At 49.2% G+C, this 20,487-nt stretch overlaps 1 protein-coding gene across 3 annotated transcripts, besides 2 other annotated features; it reads left to right on the top strand.

Moving 5' to 3' along the window:
- Positions 1–1,520: 1,520 nt before the first annotated feature.
- On the top strand, positions 1,521–18,410 carry AKR1B1 (aldo-keto reductase family 1 member B). 3 transcript variants are annotated; one of them, NM_001346142.1, is made up of 10 exons: positions 1,521–1,638; positions 9,007–9,174; positions 9,858–9,974; positions 10,963–11,040; positions 11,641–11,763; positions 12,267–12,373; positions 12,699–12,780; positions 13,379–13,462; positions 15,440–15,522; positions 17,990–18,410. In NM_001346142.1, exons 5-10 carry the CDS (start codon positions 11,644–11,646, stop codon positions 18,030–18,032), a joined length of 519 nt encoding a protein of 172 aa, NP_001333071.1. In that variant the 5' UTR covers positions 1,521–1,638; positions 9,007–9,174; positions 9,858–9,974; positions 10,963–11,040; positions 11,641–11,643; the 3' UTR covers positions 18,033–18,410. The 3 variants fall into 3 exon arrangements, 2 of the variants coding, with proteins under 2 accessions (NP_001333071.1, NP_001619.1); NM_001628.4 differs by lacking the exon at positions 1,521–1,638 and adding an exon at positions 1,660–1,763 and having other exon boundaries at positions 17,990–18,404; NR_144376.2 differs by lacking the exon at positions 1,521–1,638 and adding an exon at positions 1,660–1,763 and having other exon boundaries at positions 12,699–13,462; positions 17,990–18,404.
- Positions 1,861–2,050: a silencer, noted in NCBI's record as "silent region_18673". NCBI's record gives its function as "represses an Ori minimal core promoter by ATAC-STARR-seq in GM12878 lymphoblastoid cells {active_cell/tissue: GM12878}" and the evidence as "EXISTENCE:reporter gene assay evidence [ECO:0000049][PMID:35858748]".
- Positions 11,406–12,605: an enhancer, noted in NCBI's record as "MED14-independent group 3 enhancer chr7:134132907-134134106 (GRCh37/hg19 assembly coordinates)". NCBI's record gives its function as "activates an origin of replication core promoter dependent on BRD2, BRD4, P300/CBP and CDK7 cofactors, and independent of MED14, by STARR-seq in HCT116 cells {active_cell/tissue: HCT116}" and the evidence as "EXISTENCE:reporter gene assay evidence [ECO:0000049][PMID:35650434]".
- Positions 18,411–20,487: the final 2,077 nt, after the last annotated feature.

Here is a 20,487-nt window from a genome sequence, read left to right as displayed (position 1 = left end):
TTGTCCAGGCTGGTCTCTAACTCCTGGGCTCAAGCAGTCATCCCACCTCAGCCTCCTGAGAAGCTGAGACTACAGGTATCACTCCAGCTTTAGACACAGTTATAACTTCATGCAATCAAGCTGTATACTCAATTATTATCAAACCAACAACAAAGCCTCTGATATTGAGTCCATGTCCCTAACAGACGACCCTTCTGTGTGTACCAACCTGGCCACTCAAGGTGTATCATTTTCACAAGAGATTAGCTCTTTGGATTTGGACCCAGGAGGTTCAATTGGCAGAGCAACCTCCAAGTCAAGAGGACTCTCATGGAGGAAGGAACTTGCTGTTTTACACAAAGCAAGTTCCCAGCTTTAGGCTCAAGTTCAAATTCTATTACTTGGGGACAAATGAATTTGCCCAATAGCAACAATTTTTACAAAAGTTACATGGAAAAATATCTGGGCTAGTCTGTTCTGTATAAATTTTTCCAGGAGGGAGCACTTTTAAAGAAAGCACCAAATGGAAAATCACCGGCATGGAGTTTAGAGAGACCTGGTGCTTGAGTCACTACCAGGCAGATGGAGTTCCCAATCTTGCATAATTAGGGGAAAGATCGGAGGGTGATGGAGCAGAAAGAGCAGTTGGGGTGAGGTAGAGTATCATGAAGAGAGGTTGTTGGAAAGAAACCAAAATTGTCTTCAAGGATCTTCAAGTGACTTTTCTTAGGCTATCTTGGAAAAATGTGTGTTTCTACCTGCCAATTAGGGTGATCAATTTACTATTTTGTACCTTCTAATTTGAAATACTGGAAGCTACAATATTAGAGTCAACTTTTTCTTCTGTGGTTTTCTGTCTGTTCACTTTTCTTCCTCTAGAGAGTTTTGATAAGTTACTGTACTGGAACTTACTGCTTTGATAGAGTCTCACTTTCCAAAGACTGATGAAATTTGTCTTACTGATTCTGAATGGACAGCCTTACTTTCCAAATTCTTCTGAGAGTTCTGGATCAAGCCCATCAAGGCTTTCTAACCTCAAGAACATCAAAGGATGCTGGCTTTTGGTGGAAGGCTTGCTGAACCACACCTAGTATGCACAGACACAGCTAACACCTAGAGTGGGGTGCAAAGAGAGATCTAGAAGGCTACAAAAAGTCTGGGCAAACCCATATTTTGTGAAGGTGCTTTGCAAAAGGATTGCAAGCCATTTTTCTGGCATGCACCTTTGTCTAAGAACAAAGTGCGGTAAACTATATGTGTAGTCAGTATGATTCACATAGATTAAGGACAAGGTATTCGTCAGATTCCCAAAGAGCATCAAACTGGGGTTGGACAACAAAGGCATTCTTCTGGGCTCTTAATGAAACCAAAACTTATTTCTAGTCTATGTATTTATGGGATGCCTGTTATTTTCGCTAAAGCATTCGCTTTCCCACCAGATACAGCAGCTGAGGAACTCCTTTCTGCCACGCGGGGCGCGGGCGAGCGTTGGGGGCGGAAAGAATCCGCTGCCACTAGGACCAGGCGGAAGAAGCATCCCCGCCGACCCTTGGGGAAGGCCGCCGCGGCACCCCCAGCGCAACCAATCAGAAGGCTCCTTCGCGCAGCGGCGCGCCAACCGCAGGCGCCCTTTCTGCCGACCTCACGGGCTATTTAAAGGTACGCGCCGCGGCCAAGGCCGCACCGTACTGGGCGGGGGTCTGGGGAGCGCAGCAGCCATGGCAAGCCGTCTCCTGCTCAACAACGGCGCCAAGATGCCCATCCTGGGGTTGGGTACCTGGAAGGTAGGTGCTCGTGGGGGCGCGGGCCCGGGGCTCGCCTCACACTCTCCGCGCGGCCTGTATTGGCGAGGGACCCCGAGTGACCCTGAGCAGCTCGCCCCGCGGACGCCCGGCGTGCTGGGAGCCACGCGCGGGCTTGCAGGGTCCCCAGCGGGCTGGGGTCGGCCTTGCAGAGACCGGGGGCCTTGGCTCCCCGGGTTGGCCCTGGGCGTCAGGGCAGCATCCTGCGAGTGGGGTTTGGGAGCAGCTCACGGGAGCCCCCGCCCTACCGCGGGCAACCCTTGATGGGCGGCCCACCAGTCCGCATTTTGGGTCCTAGCGGGCGCCCCAAGCGGCACAACGCGAGAGGGAGGCGGGGAAAGTGGGCTTCACAGACCGGTGGACCTCGGGCGCAGACAGGGACGTGGAGCCGTCGGCAAGGTGTGGGAGCGCAGACCCAGCCTCCTTTCCCTCGAGGCACCTGTAGCCCGGTTGCCTCACTTGTAAATAGTTGGTCTCAATCGTTTCGATTCTTGCCCTCCCTGAGGAATAAGCATCTCAAGCCGGTAGAGGGCAGAGAATTAGGTGGCGCGAGTTTGCCCGGACCCAGCTGTTAACAAGGCGCAGTGCGGAGCTCCTCGGCCAGGCGCCGCCTCGGGGTGCCCTGGGTCTGGAACTCGGGAGAAAAATCTGGGCACCCCGTAGCTAGTTGATAATTCAGGAGGCGCCAAGGTTAGCATTTTCCCTGTAAAACCTCAACACCACACAGCGTCCCCGAGAAGTGCCTAGCCGGATGAGAATGACAATAGGACATGAAACATCATAGGATATGAAAAATGATAATATGATATGAAAAACCAAAAATAATAGCCTGAGCCTGATTATCTGAAAATTGAGCAACAAAGGTGGTGGTATGGGAGCTGAGGCAAAACCTAGAATTTTTAACCTTCTAAGTATTGCATATTATATTCCACAGCCATAACCTGGGTTTCTCAGTTTCTGTTTTTGTTGTTTGCTTGTTTGTTTGTGACAGGGTCTCGTTGCCCAAGCTGGGGTGCAGTGGCACAATCATGGTTCATTGCAGCCTGGAACTCCTGGGCTCAAGTGATCCTCCTGCCTCAGCACTGCGGGTAGCTGGGACTACAGGCGCTCACCACCACACCTGGCTAATCTTTTTTCTTCCCCGCAGAGACAGTCTCCGCTTGTTGCTTAGGGTGATCTCCAATTCCTGGGCTCAAAGCGCTCCTCCCACCTCGCCTCCCAAAGCTACAGGTGTGAACCATCTGGCAGGCCCACGTCCCAGGTTTTTCTCTTAAAATTTGAATATGGGCCTGGGCGTTGGATATTTACACACAGACAAGGGAAGAAAACAACAGAAAGAACTGAGTGAACTGTGAGATGTTTGAAATAGGACAGAAGAGTTTACATGTACCCTAAAACCTGCTGTTGAAAATTAGTAAATATAAGGTAAGAAAAAGGTCATTTGCATCAGGGAGAGTGTTTCTTGGCCAGAATGATCAGGGTACGTGATTTGTTTCCTCCAAAAACTCCAGTGGTGTCTCTAAGGTTGTAATTGAATTACAACCATGACACCAAGCTAATTTCCATCTGTTGCATGTTATGCTCTTGGAATGGATGCAGAAGGATGCTTTCTTGGCAATAGCAAATACTTTCTAAGCATGATGCAACGCACAGATATATACATGTAACTGGAATAAAAATTACTTAACAGTACTTAACCTATGTAGGCTGCATTTCAATATTTTTTTCTATTCCATTTTTCCAAAAATTATTGTCATACCTCCAGAAGCTAGTTTTGTGACCCATCATTTGAAAATCACTACTCTAGGGTAAATAAGGAGTAAAAGTTTATTTTTTTTTTTTTGAGACAGGGGCTCAGTGTCACCCAGGCTGGAGTGCAGTGGCATGATCATGATTCACTGTAGCCTTAACCTCTTGGGCTCAAGTGGTCCTCATACCTCAGCCTCCCAAGTAGCTGGGACCACAGGTGTGTGCCACCACACTCGGGTAGTTTGTTTTTAATTTTTTGTAGAGACAGGTTTCCCTATGTTGTCCAGGCTGAGGAGTAAAAGTTTATGAAAGAGGGTTTCAGATTATTCACTTGAGCACTCAATGCCCCAAAAAGCTATGTATTTGTTTAAGATAACATCACATCATAACATCTGTACATTTAGGTTATGCATTCCAGTAGACAGAGTTCATTGAGAAATTGGATAATGTCTGCTTCATTCATTACTATTTCTAGCACTTCTCACAGTGCCTGGCAAATATAGGAGTAGGTATCCAAAAGTTATGTGTTGAATTCATATGAAGAAGTAAAACGACTTTAGAGATAGCTGTATGGTGAAAACGCCCACTTGTATTCCTGTGGATGAGGAGATCAGGTTGGTGTAGAATTGTACGGTGGGGGCAGCGGGGAATGGTGGGTCAAAGTAATGGTATAAGGATGGACTTGGAATCAACTTCCTTTTTTTTTTTAATGACTTAAAACCTTTCCCTGGGGCCGGGCGCGGTGGCTCACACCTGTAACCCCAGCACTTTGGGAGGCAGAGGCGGGCAGATCATGAGGTCAGAAGATAGAGACCGTCCTGGCTAACATGGTGAAACCCCGTCTCTACTAAAAATACAAAAAATTAGCCCGGCATCGTGGCACGCACCTGTAGTCCCAGCTACTTGGGAGGCTGAGGCAGGAAAATCGCTTGAACCCCAGATGTGGAGGTTGCAGTGAGCCGAGGTCCCGCCACTGCACTCCAGCCTGGGCGATGGAGCAAGACTCCATCTAAAAAAACAACCAAACAAAAAAACCTTTCCCTTGTATGTGTGTATGTATTCTTTCACAGATGCTCGACAGAAGATGTGATCCTTTGCCTGTCTTTGTGACAGCTGGAGGAGGCCCTGCAGGCAGGTGCAGTTCCTTATTCTCCTGGGTCTTCCCATGCCGTAGCGGCTGTGTTGTACCTTTCAGACCCTCAGCAGGGCTCTGGTAGTCTCTACTCTTGAAGGTCCTCAAACTCCATTCTCTTCTCAGGTGAGGGTTTCAGGCAGATGGGGAGACCATCTCTGCCCCAGACCCATGTGGCTTGGACAGGGTTTCTTTCTGGCAGTCTTGCCTTCTACATTGGATAGTAAACAATTACACCTGTAATCCCAGCACTTTGGAAGGCCAAGGCGGGTGGATCACCTGAGGTCAGGAGTTCGAGACCAGCTGGCCAACATGGTGAAACCCCCTCTCTACTAAAAATACAAAAATTAGCCCGGCATGGTGGTGGGTGCCTGTAATCCCAGCTGCTTGGGAGGCTGAGGCAGGAGAATCACTTGAATCCAGAAGGTAGAGGTTGCCATGATCTGAGATTGTGCCACTGCACTCCAGCCTAGGCGACAAGAGCAAAAAAAAACTCGGTCTCAGAAACAACAACAACAACAAAAACCCATCACAGCATTGTAAAGCCAGGAAGCTTTTAAAACAGAGATGATGTCTGGTGCCCACCAGTGTCTTGTTACTGATAGTGTTTTTAATCTAGTTGAAAAATTGTTGGAGGTAAAAGTCATTGTAAGTCTCCTATGTATGCTCACAGAATACTCCTAGGGCTGAAGGTACAACTATGTTTCTCCATCTTTTGCCATGATCACTACCTCCCTCCCACCTAGGAGCCTTGTGAGACTTTTTTTTCCCCTAATTTGCCCCAAAATAAAATTGTAATATCAGAGATAATATTGTACTTCTGCTTATGGCCAGTAGCCTTCTAGAGGGTCACAAGCTGTTCTATAAGCTGAGGGGGGTTTTTTTGCCCCAGAGAACTAATTTTTGTCTCTTTGGGGACAATAGCACCCACTTTAAGAATGCATGAGGTAAAAGAAAATGTGCCAGGAAAGACTTGCTCCACCTTCCCCAAGTGGGGTAAGCTTGTGATGGCCCAAGATCCTTGGATGGGGTGAGGGTTGAGGCGCTGTGGGCATGGAGGTAACACAGGAGCCAGATTTACTGTTCACTTCCCTGGTGTCTCTAAAGCCCCCATCTCTTCCTCTTCAAGACCAAAGACATTTAAATAAGCCCTGCCCCTACAGGGTCAGTCCTGGTCCATGCACATCTCAACTAGTTGGAAACAGCAGTGTCTTAGAATTTGGGACAAATTGATTAAAACAGAACAGGAGGAAGTTAATTTCTGCTGCCAAACCTGATTCTGAGTGATCGTTTCCTGTTCCTTGCTCCAGGATTATCAGCACAGCATTCTCATGCTTCCTACTCAGGACCGTTTCTTTACCCAAAGTGAAGTTTCCTTTGCCCCCTCCCCTTATCCTTTGATTTCAGTAGTAACACCTGCTAACTAGAGAACATTTCAAAAATGAAGAGTTCCCTGTTCCCAGAGATCCCCGTGGTTAATATTGCAAAATATCCAATCTCTGAGATACTTTGGTTTTACCATAAACACTGTCCTGTGACCGTCTTCCTGTTTAGCACTGTGGCTTGCTTTTTGACTTGCAGAGGGAAGAGAGGGAGGGGTATCTTGAAGTAACTAGCAAGACCTGTAAGCAAAAGGGAAGAAGACTAGGTTTTAAAAGGAGTGTTGTATCTGTGTAGGAGGGAGACACTGATTTTAGTTATCAGTGTCTCAGAGTTGGTATTAGCCAGCCGGTGTTATCAAAGGAGGAACTAGGACCGCTGTCTTGAAGGAGGTGGTGGAGGACTCAAGGGCAGAGGCTTCTCACTGCCATCACTTGGTGCCATCAGCCCAGAGCATTTCAAGTCACTGCCCAACGTAGAGCTTTGCAGAGCCAGAAGTTCTGGGAGGAATGGGCATGCATGGTTTTGCCCATCAAGGGCACACAGATTAGTGGCAGGATCGGGTTAGAAACATGTAGGATTTGTATGATTGAGCTGTAATTGGAGTGTTTCATATACTGCATTTCTACAGCTCTCATCAGTAATGGCTGTGCCTGGATGCCACCCAGCATGTTTTCATAGTTTACCTTCTTTTTAGAAGTCAATCTGGACCCCTCCTTCTGTTTGCATTTTCTCTTTGTTGACATGGAATGGGGAGATGTTGTCATCCTGTGTTGGCATTCCCAAGTTTAGTGAATGGTTTCTCACCATAGCTTAAGTTGGCTGCTTCATTTTTCATAAGGCAAATTAGTTTCTCTCAGGGAAGGGCTGTACATTGAGATCATTAACATAGAATGTGGTTGTGGATCCTCGTACATTTTCATTGCAGAGGTGACTTTTTCCCTCCAGCACCTTTGATCAGCCTCCCAGCACACATGTCTCCAGCGAATGGCACATATCCAAGGAATGATCAGCAGCTTCTTCGTGACCTCTTGCAGTCATTGCTGTCTTTTACTTTTCTAGAAAAACCTCTCACAACTTTTTTTTCATGTCGTGCCAACGCAAGCTTGATTATCCTAGTCTGTGCTCTTTTGGTTCCAAAGAACTGAAAAACCACTTTAATCTTAAGCAGGAAAAAAAAAAGTGTGTTTGGGGTGGGGATTGATTGACTTCCCCAAACAACAGCCGCTGACATTAGGTGTTTGAGATTCAGGGTTGTAAATGTTGTCACCAGGATTTGGCCTCCCTCCACTTTCCTGCAGCAGCTCCAGGCTGACATTCTCCCAGCTCAGTGACCCCAGCAGAACCGGGGCTGGACTCAGGGGTTCCAATTCAAGTGCAAAGATTGAGTCTTATGGCCTGGATTGAGTCATGTTCCTGTCCCCGCACCAGTTGCATGGCAGGCAGTGCGTGGCTAGGCTGAGCCTGCGGAGTGTGCCCTCAGCAGCTCCTCAGAGAAAAATCAATCAAGGCGCCATCAAGCCTGGAGAAAGTTCAGTGTGTCCTGGGCAGTTTCCTGCCTGGGCCCCAGTTGTTCTTTCTGGGGTAGGGATGTCCTCTGCTCTCCCTGCTGTCATCAGTGGTGGTTGTGCCCGGACACCACTCAGGGCCTGTGGTAAGGCATTCTTTCTGGAAATTGAGATTCTCTGTTCCTTCAACCGTGCAGAGTGGGGAAGGCTGCAAGAGCAGCTTCTGAGGTCCTCCAGTCAAATAAGAGGTCGCCAGGTCCTCTGAGGGTCGTCCCCTCTTAACCCACACCTTCGATGAGCATCCCCACCCTGCCTCGCTGCTCCCTCTGAGGTGGAGAGTGAGCTCCATGCTAACAGGCTCTGGTAACGGGCTTGTTCAACTGGGCCCCTTTCTTCCCCAAAGCCTGTTGAAAATAGCTGATGTCAAAACACAGATGTCTGCAGCTGCTATGGCCCTGGGGGGTTTTTCTTTTCATTTGTTTCTACCCCAGCTCTCCAAAGGAATGTGCTCTGTTCATTCAACAGCCCGCTGCACATGTTTATTGCTCAGCTCTGTGATCATAGCAGGATAGTGAAAGTTGGGGGATACGTGTCCATGCAGCCTACCTGGGTGCCAGTGAAGCGCGATGCCATGTAGGCACTTCCTCCTCCTCTTCAGTAGCCAGGCTCCCCACAGCTGTTCTGGTTACTCAGATGGTCAGGTGGCTTGGCCATGGACACCCATTCAGTCATTTTGCCAGGTCAGCCACTAACCATTTGGTGATCTTCCATGATCCACATTCCCCCTCGTTTCCCTTTAACTTATTTCTCTCTGCTGATACCTCTGAGGGGCCATCTCCCGTGTCTCCACCCCTTGAAGCAGATCCTCATACAGTGAGAATTGACACATGGGCCTTTGAATAAACATCAGTGATGTGCTTAACTTCATGATAATCTCCCAGAACCGCTTGAAAACAAGCGACTGCCGGTATCAGAAGCCATGCATGAAAAGAGAGCGTAAGGGGCAGGCATTCACTGGCTGAACTGGGGAGCCACATGGGAATTGGGGTCCATAGGACATCTATTTTTGAAATATTTTGAGATATTTGAAGGAAATGGTTTCCCTTACTATCTCAGCATTCAGAGTGTGGGGAAATGTTTTTAATACAGTGGTTTGCAAATCAGTGGATGTGAAGAAGCAAGAAAATGAGATGGCTTCAGCATATCTTTTAAAAGTGATCTCACCTACACTTAAGTGGCTGTCAGATTCTCCTACAGGGCAATGCTGTGTGGCCTTTCACTTCCATCCCCCGCGTCTGAGGCTGATAGTCCAGAATGCTGCTGAGGAAGTGCACGTGGTCTGTCTTTGCTGAACAAAGTGGCAGGCTGGTCAGCAGGTATCGGTGGCTGCCACTGCCCCTCCTCCTTGCTGTGCAGACTCTGCATTCTGCGGGGCTCACGTTCTTTCTCCTTTCAGTCCCCTCCAGGGCAGGTGACTGAGGCCGTGAAGGTGGCCATTGACGTCGGGTACCGCCACATCGACTGTGCCCATGTGTACCAGAATGAGAATGAGGTGGGGGTGGCCATTCAGGAGAAGCTCAGGGAGCAGGTGGTGAAGCGTGAGGAGCTCTTCATCGTCAGCAAGGTATCGTTCCGCGGTGGGGCTGGAAGGGGCTCTCGGTCCCATCATCTGTTGGTGCATCAGCCCAAAGCCAAGTCCACACTCAATACAGCTACACTTTTCACTGATGGGCGATTCTTCCCGGGGAAACGTATCACCCACGGCCATACAGGGCTCCAGAGCTCGCCCATCCTTGGCTCTCTGTTGAATGGTCATTCCATCTGGGCCCATTGCTTAGAGTCCCGTGCTGATGAGGCTGAGGTTGTGGATTGGCCCTCCCTTTCCAGGGAGTCGCTTTCAAGGATGGAACTTGGTTCCCATCTGCAAACTGAATCTCCAGTGCTAGCCACTGTCTTTGACCTGAGATACTGATGCACAAAGGACATGAGGCAGGAGGATGGGGCTGGCTCCACAAACACCAGCCCGGGGGGAAAGTTTCGAGAGTTCTTGCTTAGGCCTAGGGCAGGCTAGCCAATCTGTCCATTCCATTTTGTGTCCTCTGGTCCTTGTAAGAGGTCTCTGTGACCTGGTCATCCTGCCTGCCTTTGGAAAGTTAGGATCCAGTACGCAGTGGAAATGCCCTCACAACCATTCACAGCATCATGGTAAAGCAAATGGGTTTTGGGGAGAGGAGACTGCTCTGTCTTTCCAGCCAGGAAGCTGCCTTGTGGCTGGCAATGATGACATGTGCCCTCTCGCTGGCTTAGCTGTGGTGCACGTACCATGAGAAGGGCCTGGTGAAAGGAGCCTGCCAGAAGACACTCAGCGACCTGAAGCTGGACTACCTGGACCTCTACCTTATTCACTGGCCGACTGGCTTTAAGGTATGGGATGCCTGGTGCAGACCAGGTCCCTTGGGGCTCAGGTGCAACCTGTGGTGTGTTTTGAGCTCCCTTAGCAGATTACGTGTGGGTGACTTTCTGTTCTTGCTGCTCAAGGTATAGCCAGTGGACCATCAGCACTGGCATCACCTGGGAGCGTCTTAGAAATCACAGTCTCGGGCCCCACGCAGGCCATTTGAATCCGCACCAGCAGTGACTCATACGCACACTTCTTCAAAGTTTGAGGAGCACTGCTCTTTGCCAGTTGGTAGATGTGCAATTTAAAACTGTCAGCAAACACAGCTGCTGTCTGTAGTGCACACAGCCATGAGGCACGGTCAGCCCTGGCCCTCCCCTCCAGGCACGTGCACACACCAACCCCCATACACATGAGTCCCTACCCACGTTCTACATGCATACCCTGTCCTGTGGAGGCCCGGTAACTATTTGCAGTCTAGTTGTTGGCACAAGAAGAACTTGAGAGTTACTTTGTCTTTTGCCTTTTTTCTAGCCACTGCCTCAGTTTTCTGCTGTGAGCCAGGTTCAAAGTGTGGGTTTAGCTTTATCCCGTAGCCCTGTTTTATTGCACCACAGCATATCAGGGCTGAAGGGACTTGACTTTTATCTTTTGATTTTAGGGGTAAGCTGGGGAGGCTGGGCCAGGTGGTAGTTTTATAGGCCAGTGACCCGCCAGGCCTTGGGCCCTGTGAGTCCTGGTCTTGAGTCCTTCCTGTATCCACACATTGCAGTCAGTGGCGGGGCTAGTCTCTGTGACCAAGTAGTGTCCATGTCTCCGTCTGACAGTCTCAGCTCCAGCCCGTTTGATAAAGAAGTGTTGGCTATCTGCCTATTTCCTTTTCATAGTGGCACACAGATTATCCCTAGCCAGCTGTGGTGGTTTAGAATTGTTTTAGATGCCAGCTTCCCCCAGCAGGTCTGTGAAGGACTATTACTGATTGTTTTGTTTGTTTGTTTTTTATTGTAATGACAGCCTGGGAAGGAATTTTTCCCATTGGATGAGTCGGGCAATGTGGTTCCCAGTGACACCAACATTCTGGACACGTGGGCGGTAAGACAGCCCCTGGTTGGACCTTGTTTTCGTGACTGGTTCCCTCTTCTTCTTAGAAGCAATCTGCCTGCCATTTCTCACATTGCATTTTGTTATTCTGTCCCTGTTGTTTGCTCTCTCTTTTTTTTTTTTTGAGTTGGGGTCTCCCTCTGTTGCCCAGGCTGGAGTGCAGTGGCACAATCTCGGCTCACTGCAAGCTCCACCTCCTGGGTTCACGCCATTCTCCTGCCTCAGCCTCCTGAGTAGCTGGGACTACAGGTGCCCGCCACCACGCCCGGCTAATTTTTTTGTATTTTTAGTAGAGACGGGGTTTCACCGTGTTAGCCAGGATGGTCTTGATCTCCTGACCTCGTGATCCGCCCGCCTCAGCCTCCCAAAGTGCTGGGATTACAGGCGTGAGCCACCGCGCCCGGCCTGTTTGCTCTTCTTATCTCATTAAAGCCAGCCTGGCTTTCGTCTCACTGTCTCTTAGCTTCTGAAAGGTCTAATTCACTGGCACTGAAGAGTGAGGGCAGGACCCGTTAAACTGGTGCAAACGACACTTCTGATCCTGTCCTTTCTGGGTTCGTTTCTGCACCACACAGACACTTTTCTCTGTAGGCCATGGAAGAGCTGGTGGATGAAGGGCTGGTGAAAGCTATTGGCATCTCCAACTTCAACCATCTCCAGGTGGAGATGATCTTAAACAAACCTGGCTTGAAGTATAAGCCTGCAGTTAACCAGGTAAACATCCCCCAACGACACTGGCATTGCAACGTTGCTGTTTTACTGTCTGATGCTGGTAGGGATTTCTCGTCCACCTCACCCAGCAAGTGGCCAGGAGGCAGCTCCTGGGTGTTGGCAGAGTCCTGAGTTATGATTCAGCATGACACAGCACATCTGGGAGAGGAAACTTACAGGAAAGAAAGAGTTTGAGCCTGGCTTGTGACGATTTGGGGTCTGACAAAGAGGCAGCCATGAGATCCTCAGAACTGTGATAGTTGATAAGTGGCTAAAGCCAAGAAAAGCCTCTAGGGCCCATGAGAACATCTATAATAAGATAATAATAACACCAAGGATACTACCTGGGAACTGTAGGAAGTTACAGCTTATCTGGGAAATAGGGTGTTTGTTATACATAGTTTTCTGTATGGGGTAGGGAGGGACTTTAGCATAGGAAGCTTCATCTGTGTCCCATCAGCGTGTAGCCACAGTGCTCCCATCAGCTCTTGTTTTTGCATTTGCAGATTGAGTGCCACCCATATCTCACTCAGGAGAAGTTAATCCAGTACTGCCAGTCCAAAGGCATCGTGGTGACCGCCTACAGCCCCCTCGGCTCTCCTGACAGGCCCTGGTGAGCTTCCCACAGGCTCATGCTCCTGTGTCACTTGGTGAAGATTAGAAAAGACTAAAAAGAACAATTCAGCCTCAAGGAAGATGTTTCTGGGGGTGATCTGCAAAACTTCCCCTGAGCCTCTTGCTGGTTTTCCTGGAAGGGTTGGAGTTTCTAGTAGCAAGACACCTACTCTTTTTCCAAAGGGTTGGGGGTTCTTAACCCAGCTCTGAGGAGGAGACTGGTGGCTGCCCTCTGAGGTCGATGGGAGGATTAGGGTTGGGGTTTCTGGCTGCTGTGAGTGGTGGCCATGATGGTGTGACCTGGACTGTCTTTCTATCCTCAGGGCCAAGCCCGAGGACCCTTCTCTCCTGGAGGATCCCAGGATCAAGGCGATCGCAGCCAAGCACAATAAAACTACAGCCCAGGTACAGCCACTTCAGGTGTTGCTGACCGTCCACAACTGCCTGCATTCCTGACAGTCCTGTTAGCCAAGAGGAGGAAGTGACTGAGCCTGTTACACCCTCACAGGAAGTATGGTTAGGGGTCCTCAAGTACAGAGTGGAAAGGGCACAGATCGGGGTTTTAGAAGACTCTGGCATGGGCTCTTAGATTAATAGTGCCTGCCCCCACTACTGCAAGGGTGACTGCCACGAGGGCCAGCGCTTGTTCATTCATGTGGAACCTCATCTGTACAAATGTAAGAGCTCTTAGCCGTGCAGGGAATGTTCTTTCTCCTGAGTGGTAGTGTGCATTTCTAGCCAGTGGAGGGCCTCATGTGGTCTCATGATATGCCTGAGACACTGAAGCGTGTGGCACAGTGGCTAGCGCAGGACTCTGGAGTCAGATCTGGACCTGAATGCGTCGCCTACCTGTTGCTAGCTGTGACCTGACATCTTGGAGCCCCTCTCTGATCACCTGTGGAGTTCTAGCACGTCCTTCTGCAGGTTGTGTGTGTGAGAGACTGAGATGATGGGTGCGAGTGCCTGGCATGTATACACACTCACTGTCTCCTTGGGCTCACAGGTCCTGATCCGGTTCCCCATGCAGAGGAACTTGGTGGTGATCCCCAAGTCTGTGACACCAGAACGCATTGCTGAGAACTTTAAGGTAAGATCTTGGCTGGTCAGGCCTGGCCCTCCTCCATGGAGTGGGGGATGGGGGAGGCCTCTCATCCTGTCTCTGGAGTGTCATCTGTGGGATCACCACCATCCTCTCTTCTGAGGCCAGGGAGCTGTGGCGAGCAAGCCAAGACTGAGACTGACACCTCACCAGTGGAGCCGTGTGCAGGGGCAGGCCTTGGGCCTCCAGGGCCCCGTGCTGTGCACGCATACACCTACACCTTTGCTCAGGCCCTTCAGCCACACCGAGAGGTTACCCGGGGAGAATCTCGCTCTTGAGCTTCACTGCCTGGACCTGCCCTGCACTGGAGCTCTGTCAGCTACCAGCTGCATAACCCTGGGCAAGTCGCTTAACTGCTCGATGCCTCAGCTTCCCTATCTATAAAATAATATCCATTTTGAGGGTTGTTACGAAGATTAAGTGATGCATCAGAGCACTTCACATGGTGCTTAATACCTTAGTAAGTGATCGAGAAATGTTGCTGTGCTGATAAGTCCAGGGACTGCAAAGGACCCTCTGGGCCATTTAGTCCATTCACCAGCTCTGCAAGGAGTTCGTGTGATGATGGGCAGAGCCTAGACCTGTGTCAGGACTCTGGCGAAGCGCTCAGTGTGGCAGCTGGAGCAGCTCAGGCTACTTGGCGCCACCTCCCTCCCTGCCTGCCCTTGCAGCATTGGTGGCGGGGGTGTGGGGGAGGGGGGGGGCACGCCCAAAGGAGAGCAGCTCAGGGGAGTCCTGATGGCCCAAGAGCCTCTGTTCTCACTGAGCAAAGTGGCTCTGCCAGGGATGCTCTGTCTTTATCCAAGATCTGTGCCGAGCGCAGCACAGCCATGGGCCTGGGGCTCTTGGGCAGGCCCCAGCTTAGGTGAGCAGCTGATTTTGCCCAATTCCACTGCCCAAAGACTGTGGCCATAGTGCCTGCCACCTGTCACATATGAGACAGGGATGAGAGTGATCCCTGAAGAGGGAAGTGGAGCTCATTGTTTAGGAGAGGAGACGTTTTTCTTCTTACGTGCAGGTAGATGTTCTAAGTACACAAGATAAAATGGCAAAACAGTGGCCACTGAGGGAAAGGCATATCCCACCAGAGATGCATCGTTTGTTTCGTATTTCATTTTTTAAGGAATTAGGAAAGAAAAAATAAATGACTAATCTCAAAATGCTAACCTAATTATTTTATTTTTGCATCTTACTGTATAGCTTTTGCACATTTTTCTGTGATCATAACCACAGAGCCTGTAGCAGACTCTCTTTCTGCACATTCTGTGATCATCTGAAGCTAAGAGCCCTTCGGCTCTGGGAGTGTGTGTCAGCCTCTTGTGGGTCTCACCCAGTGGTGCCTGCCTGCCTCCCTCCCTCCCAGCCTCCATGCCAGCTGAGTTCTGTACCGTCTGCTGCCTTCATGCAGGTGGTTCTCTTCTCCCAGTATACCTTTCTTGCCCTCTCTGTCAAAATCTTATACTTCTTAGGCCATGTCAAATACCATCTCCTCTTCGGCTGTGGTTGTTCAGTTTCCCGGCTGGAATCCCTTTGGAATACCTCTGCCCTTCCTGTGCTGTTGAGTGTCTTATACAGTGTGTGATTAGTTATTTGTATTACAGTTGTAGAAATACCTCTGCCCTTTGTTTGCTTCATAAAATAGAGGCAAAGACACATCTTACCCATAATTATATTCCTCACTGCAACTTATCACAATAGAAGTGCTCAGTAGTGTTTTTTGAAATGAAATAAAATGTATCATTTCCCTGGGAGGTTCTGGAAAGGAAGGACTGTTTCCATCGTTCCATATATTATCTAGCCCAACATGCACATTTCCTGAATACTAATATATCAGCTTTTCCTAAGTTCAGTTTATCTTATCGCTCCTCTCTGCTCAAAGCCATGGAAGACATCTGGGTCCTGCACAGTATTTTGTCTTTTATTTTTATTTGCAGAGCTTACTGGATTTTTTTGTTTGTTTTTTAGGTCTTTGACTTTGAACTGAGCAGCCAGGATATGACCACCTTACTCAGCTACAACAGGAACTGGAGGGTCTGTGCCTTGTTGAGGTGAGTGAGCCCCAGTGTGAGGAGCAGTTCCCAGGAGATATTCAGATGCTGCACAGCAAGAGAGTGATCCCTGCAGGCCTCAGCGCCAATGTGCTCTCGTCACAGCTGTTCTTGCTTTGCACATTACCTTGCTTTCTCAGCCACGTGACTTGCATCAGCTGAACTGCATGGAGCCAAGATGCCAAGAGATCCGCTCTTGATATCTTCTTCCAGCCCTGGGGCATTGTTGGCCTGGCCTGAAGTAACTACATATTTTGGCTTTCCATTCAATTTTTAAATCCTAGCAGTTCATCTGAAACTAGGTGATCCCAGGTGACCCTGGATCAAACTCTGGAAGAATTTGCCTGTGACTTTTTGTCTTAATGACCCTAATGAAAGGGGTTTGGTCGGGAGCCCCTGGGGCTGAGGTTTGAGACAGTCCCGGCTCTGACCTGGTAAGCCACATGGCTCCAAAACAGGCCCTCCCTCTGAGCAGCAGGCACCTCAGTTCCTCCAGCCACACATCCTCTGGTTCTGTTTCCTCTGCATGGTAGTTTGGAAGGAGCTGCCTAGGAAGGTTTTCTGTGGGGTTTTCTCTTTTCCTACCATTACAATAACTAGGTGACGCATGTAACTCACTTTCTGCTTTCAAGAAGGAACTTCTCATTTTGCAGTGGAGACTGAGACTCTGTTTCTCTCTCACTACCCTTATTCTTGTCTGAGCTCTGTGTTTCCACACTCTCTCCTTTAGTACTTCCTCTTCTAAGCAAAATGTGAACATTCCCTAAGATGGGGTGGGCTACCAGCTTTCCCTTTCCAGCGTCTGTCCCATCTCCCTCCCCGGAGTTTGCACTGCTGGTGGCTTCAGCCACCGCCCCAGGCAGATGTTTGCCCAGTCTGCGTCCTGGACAATAACTCTGGCCCTGCTTCAGGCATATGCGTGCCTGGCAAGCCTGCTGCTGCCACACTGTGGCCTCACACTCAAAATAGGCCGCAAACAGAGCATGTCACAGGCAGCCCCAGGCCAGTGCCCTTTCAGACATCTCTGTTAATGCTACTTAGCCCTAGACATTAAAATCATTTTTGGATCTAGTGGACAAGGAGGAGAGGAGTGAATCAGTCACCAAGCTACATTCGTTCTCCTTTCAGAATCTCTCCCATTCATCCGTCTTCCTTTTCCCCTCCCACTTGAGACAGAGTGGATTGAAGCTTTCAGGGCTGAGGAAACACAGTGGTTTTCTCATTGCTCCCTTTACAGTTAGGCTCCTCTGCCCTCCAGTATTGTGCTAGAAACTTCTGTTCGATTATCCTGTTGCGTGGCGGTGAGTGGGAGGAAGAGGCTAGCCCTGACATGCTCAGGTCTCCTAGGGAGTTTTCGCTAACTACACACACACCACCCCTCTGGCAGATAATGCTTTACTGAGCCTGACCTGCTGATGTCAGTGTCACTGTGGGTATACAAAAAAGGCAGACCATGGAGAACTTTTGAATAAGAGTTACAGACTGTAAGCACCCAGCTCAGATTACATAACTCTGGCCTTGCGTGAGCTGCCCAGCTATCTGTCCAGTGTTCCTGCCTTTATGTTCCTAGCACAGCCATTGGCCCTACTAGATGGACAGTGAGTGAGCCTTGACAAACACGTCTGCACCTGTGCTCCCTGCCATGTGCTCCCTGCCCTGTGCTCCCTGCCCTGTTTCCAATATAAAATCGCCGACCGTTGATTGGGCTCACTTCAGCCCCCACTGATACAAGGAGGCTCCCTCTGTCCTCAGAGCACTTGCCGTTGCTTCTCTTATCCTTTGAGATTCAGTCACATACAGACTTTTAACATCCCTTTTTTTTTTTGAAATGGGCTCCTACTCTGTCACCCAGGCTGGAATGTAATGGCATGATCACAGCTCACTGCAGCCTTGACCTCCTGGGCTCAAATGATCCTCCCACCTCAGCCTCCCAAGTAGCTGGGGCCATGGGCATGCACCACCATGCCTGGTTAATTTAAAAAGTTTTTTTATTAAGATGGAAATCTTGCTATGTTGCCCAGGCTAGTCGCAAACCCCTAGCCTCAAGTGATCCTCTCGCTTCAGCCTGGGATTACAGGCGTGAGCCACTGTGTCTGGCCTGCCTTCTCATATTATTACACAAGATGTTTAAGACCACAAAATACTGTCTGGTCCTGCCAGCTAGACTGAGTTACTGGAAGGCAGAAATCGTGTTGCCGTCCTGCACGGCCCAGGCACAGTGCTGGGCACATGGGGAGGGTGGTGTCCCTCACACATGTGCTGCTTGATGACAGTAGTGGTAGAGGGGTCTGGAGGGTGAGTTGCTTCCCCCAGCTGCAGAACCATCATCTGCACACTCAGAACTAGCTTGTTGCCTCTGAGGTTCTATTTTATTTCTTCAGTGAGACACATCATTTCTCTGTTGGGAGTTGGGTATAGTCAAAATCACCTCTTCAAAAAGCAACTGTTTTCTCCTTTCTCCTGACAGCTGTACCTCCCACAAGGATTACCCCTTCCATGAAGAGTTTTGAAGCTGTGGTTGCCTGCTCGTCCCCAAGTGACCTATACCTGTGTTTCTTGCCTCATTTTTTTCCTTGCAAATGTAGTATGGCCTGTGTCACTCAGCAGTGGGACAGCAACCTGTAGAGTGGCCAGCGAGGGCGTGTCTAGCTTGATGTTGGATCTCAAGAGCCCTGTCAGTAGAGTAGAAGTCTCTTCCAGTTTGCTTTGCCCTTCTTTCTACCCTGCTGGGGAAAGTACAACCTGAATACCCTTTTCTGACCAAAGAGAAGCAAAATCTACCAGGTCAAAATAGTGCCACTAACGGTTGAGTTTTGACTGCTTGGAACTGGAATCCTTTCAGCAAGACTTCTCTTTGCCTCAAATAAAAAGTGCTTTTGTGAGCTTGGTTTTGTGAGCTTTGGTTTTTTAAAACAATAGCAACCTTCTATCTCACTTCAACCATCACTCTCCACATACCCATAAGGCAGGCCAGTCAGTGATGCAAAAGGAGTGAGGACTTGACTTTTCTACAAGTCCTCAACTGCAAGTTGGGGGCCCCTCACCCCAGTACTTTACCCATTTAGCTTTAGGGTTGTGGGTCTCATCCTGGCTGCACACCAGGTCACCTTTGGGGGCTTTAAGGCTGGTGATGTCTGGACCTCGCCCTGGAGGCTGATCTGATTGGGCTGTGATCAGGACAGCAGGAGTGTACAGGCTCTCCAGGTGATTCCAGGGTGCAGCCAAGGCTGAGCCACAGCTTTAGGGTAAACCCATGTTCGATTCCACAGATTCCTTGGTTGCTCCTTCTACGTATGAAGGCCGAGGTCGGTGTTTACTAAGCAGCACAACCTGAGAGAAATTGCTTTTCTGAAGCCTGTTGTCTAGACAAGAGGAAAGAAAAGCATAAATAAATGGCTTCCAATTGGATGAAGATGAAATAGGGCTACAAAATAAAGATTTTGAGGCGGAATGCTGTTGCTTCTTTTTGTTACCGTTTCTTTATCCAGAGTTAAGTTAACAAAGGCCAAGAAAGGAATGGAATAGACAAGTGCCGACTTGAAAGTTCATCAAGTTAGGTTGTTTTGTGGCTGCCCTTGTTTATTGGATAATTAGGACCCCCATGATCAAGTCACATTAACTGCTTTGCAGGTGATCTGTGTTTAAGATGCACCTCTAAAGGTATAGTTAATTGGGCAGTGGTGGTTCCTGGCCCTCACCCAGCGCTGGAGGGGCACACCTAGCCCCTCTGCGGCTGGGGTTGAGCCCGGTGGAGAACCCAGAGCCCCACTGCACAGGCTGCCCTTACTACCTGGCAGCCTTGGGCCTGGGTCCCTCATGGCATCTGCTGATCACAGTGGTCCAGTTTCCCCTGCCAGAGTAGGCAGGTCACACCTGTTAAACTGCAGACCTTATGTTGCCCTCTGATGATTAAGAGTAGATTTTAGTTTTGTTACAAAAGTTACGTCAAATCATCTGACCTGATCCCCACTCTGTTTCTCCAGTTGGCTTCAACACTCTTTGGAAAAACTTTAAGGTAGTCACTGGTAACAGTTTTTAAATCGGTTACCTGCCTTTTAGATCTCCGCTTAGTATAGACCATTGTAGCATGACAATTTGAGACTCAGCCCAGGAGCATAAACAAGATAAAAGGCAAGCTGTGCAACCTCCCCTCCCTACTTTCCAGCAGAACCCTCAGATTTTTTCTAAGGACTGCCCTTTAGGAGCCTTGCCGGCAGTGGAAGAGGAGGAAGAGAATTAAAGCATGCCACGAATGACAGGGAGAACAGCTGGTTCTGCATTTTGAAGCTCCAATCGTATTTTCAGTAGTCAGCGGCTTGGGCTCAGGTAAGGCCCGTTGCTTGTATGCTGAAAAGTGTGGCTTAAGGAGCAGAAGCTGAGGCTGTGGAGCTCAGTGGAACCAGCTTCATTCCACTAACAATTCATCCAAGGAGTGGATGGATGAGAGAAGGTCCGTGGATCAAGACAGGTGCTGCTTCATTCACCAATGGAGAGCTCCATTCTTCCTTCCCCTTGTGGAATCAAAACCGCTACACCTTCCTGGGCAGACTCCAGCCCAGCCTCAGGACTCTGGTGGACTCATCACGATGAATGAAGTCACCCTTCAGAGGGCAAAGTCAGTGGCAGTTATAGAACAATGGTGCTGGCCCCATCTCGGGACATTTGCCCCTGTGAAGTTGGGGGCACAACATACATTCATGAAGCAGTGGGGTTTTACCAAAATAATGTTCCAGCCAAGGAGCAGAATTGTTAAGATATTGAGACCAATGGAAATACAGAACAAAATATTAAATCACACGGGCAAGTAAGATCTGCATTGGAAAATCTCTGAACAATGCCTCCGGAGACGATTTCAAACAGCATCATTTTTCAGGATCTGATTTCAAAGAACAAGGTTTCTCAACACTATGTCCTTTATGTTGATAAAATTGCACAAACTGCTGTAGTGCAATGTCCTTGCTGCTC

Source organism: Homo sapiens, chromosome 7 (genome assembly GCF_000001405.40).
Source record: "Homo sapiens chromosome 7, GRCh38.p14 Primary Assembly".
Taxonomy (NCBI): domain Eukaryota; kingdom Metazoa; phylum Chordata; class Mammalia; order Primates; family Hominidae; genus Homo; species Homo sapiens.
The sequence above is the reverse complement of the archived record's forward strand: the minus strand, read 5'-3'. Positions and strand labels throughout refer to the sequence as shown.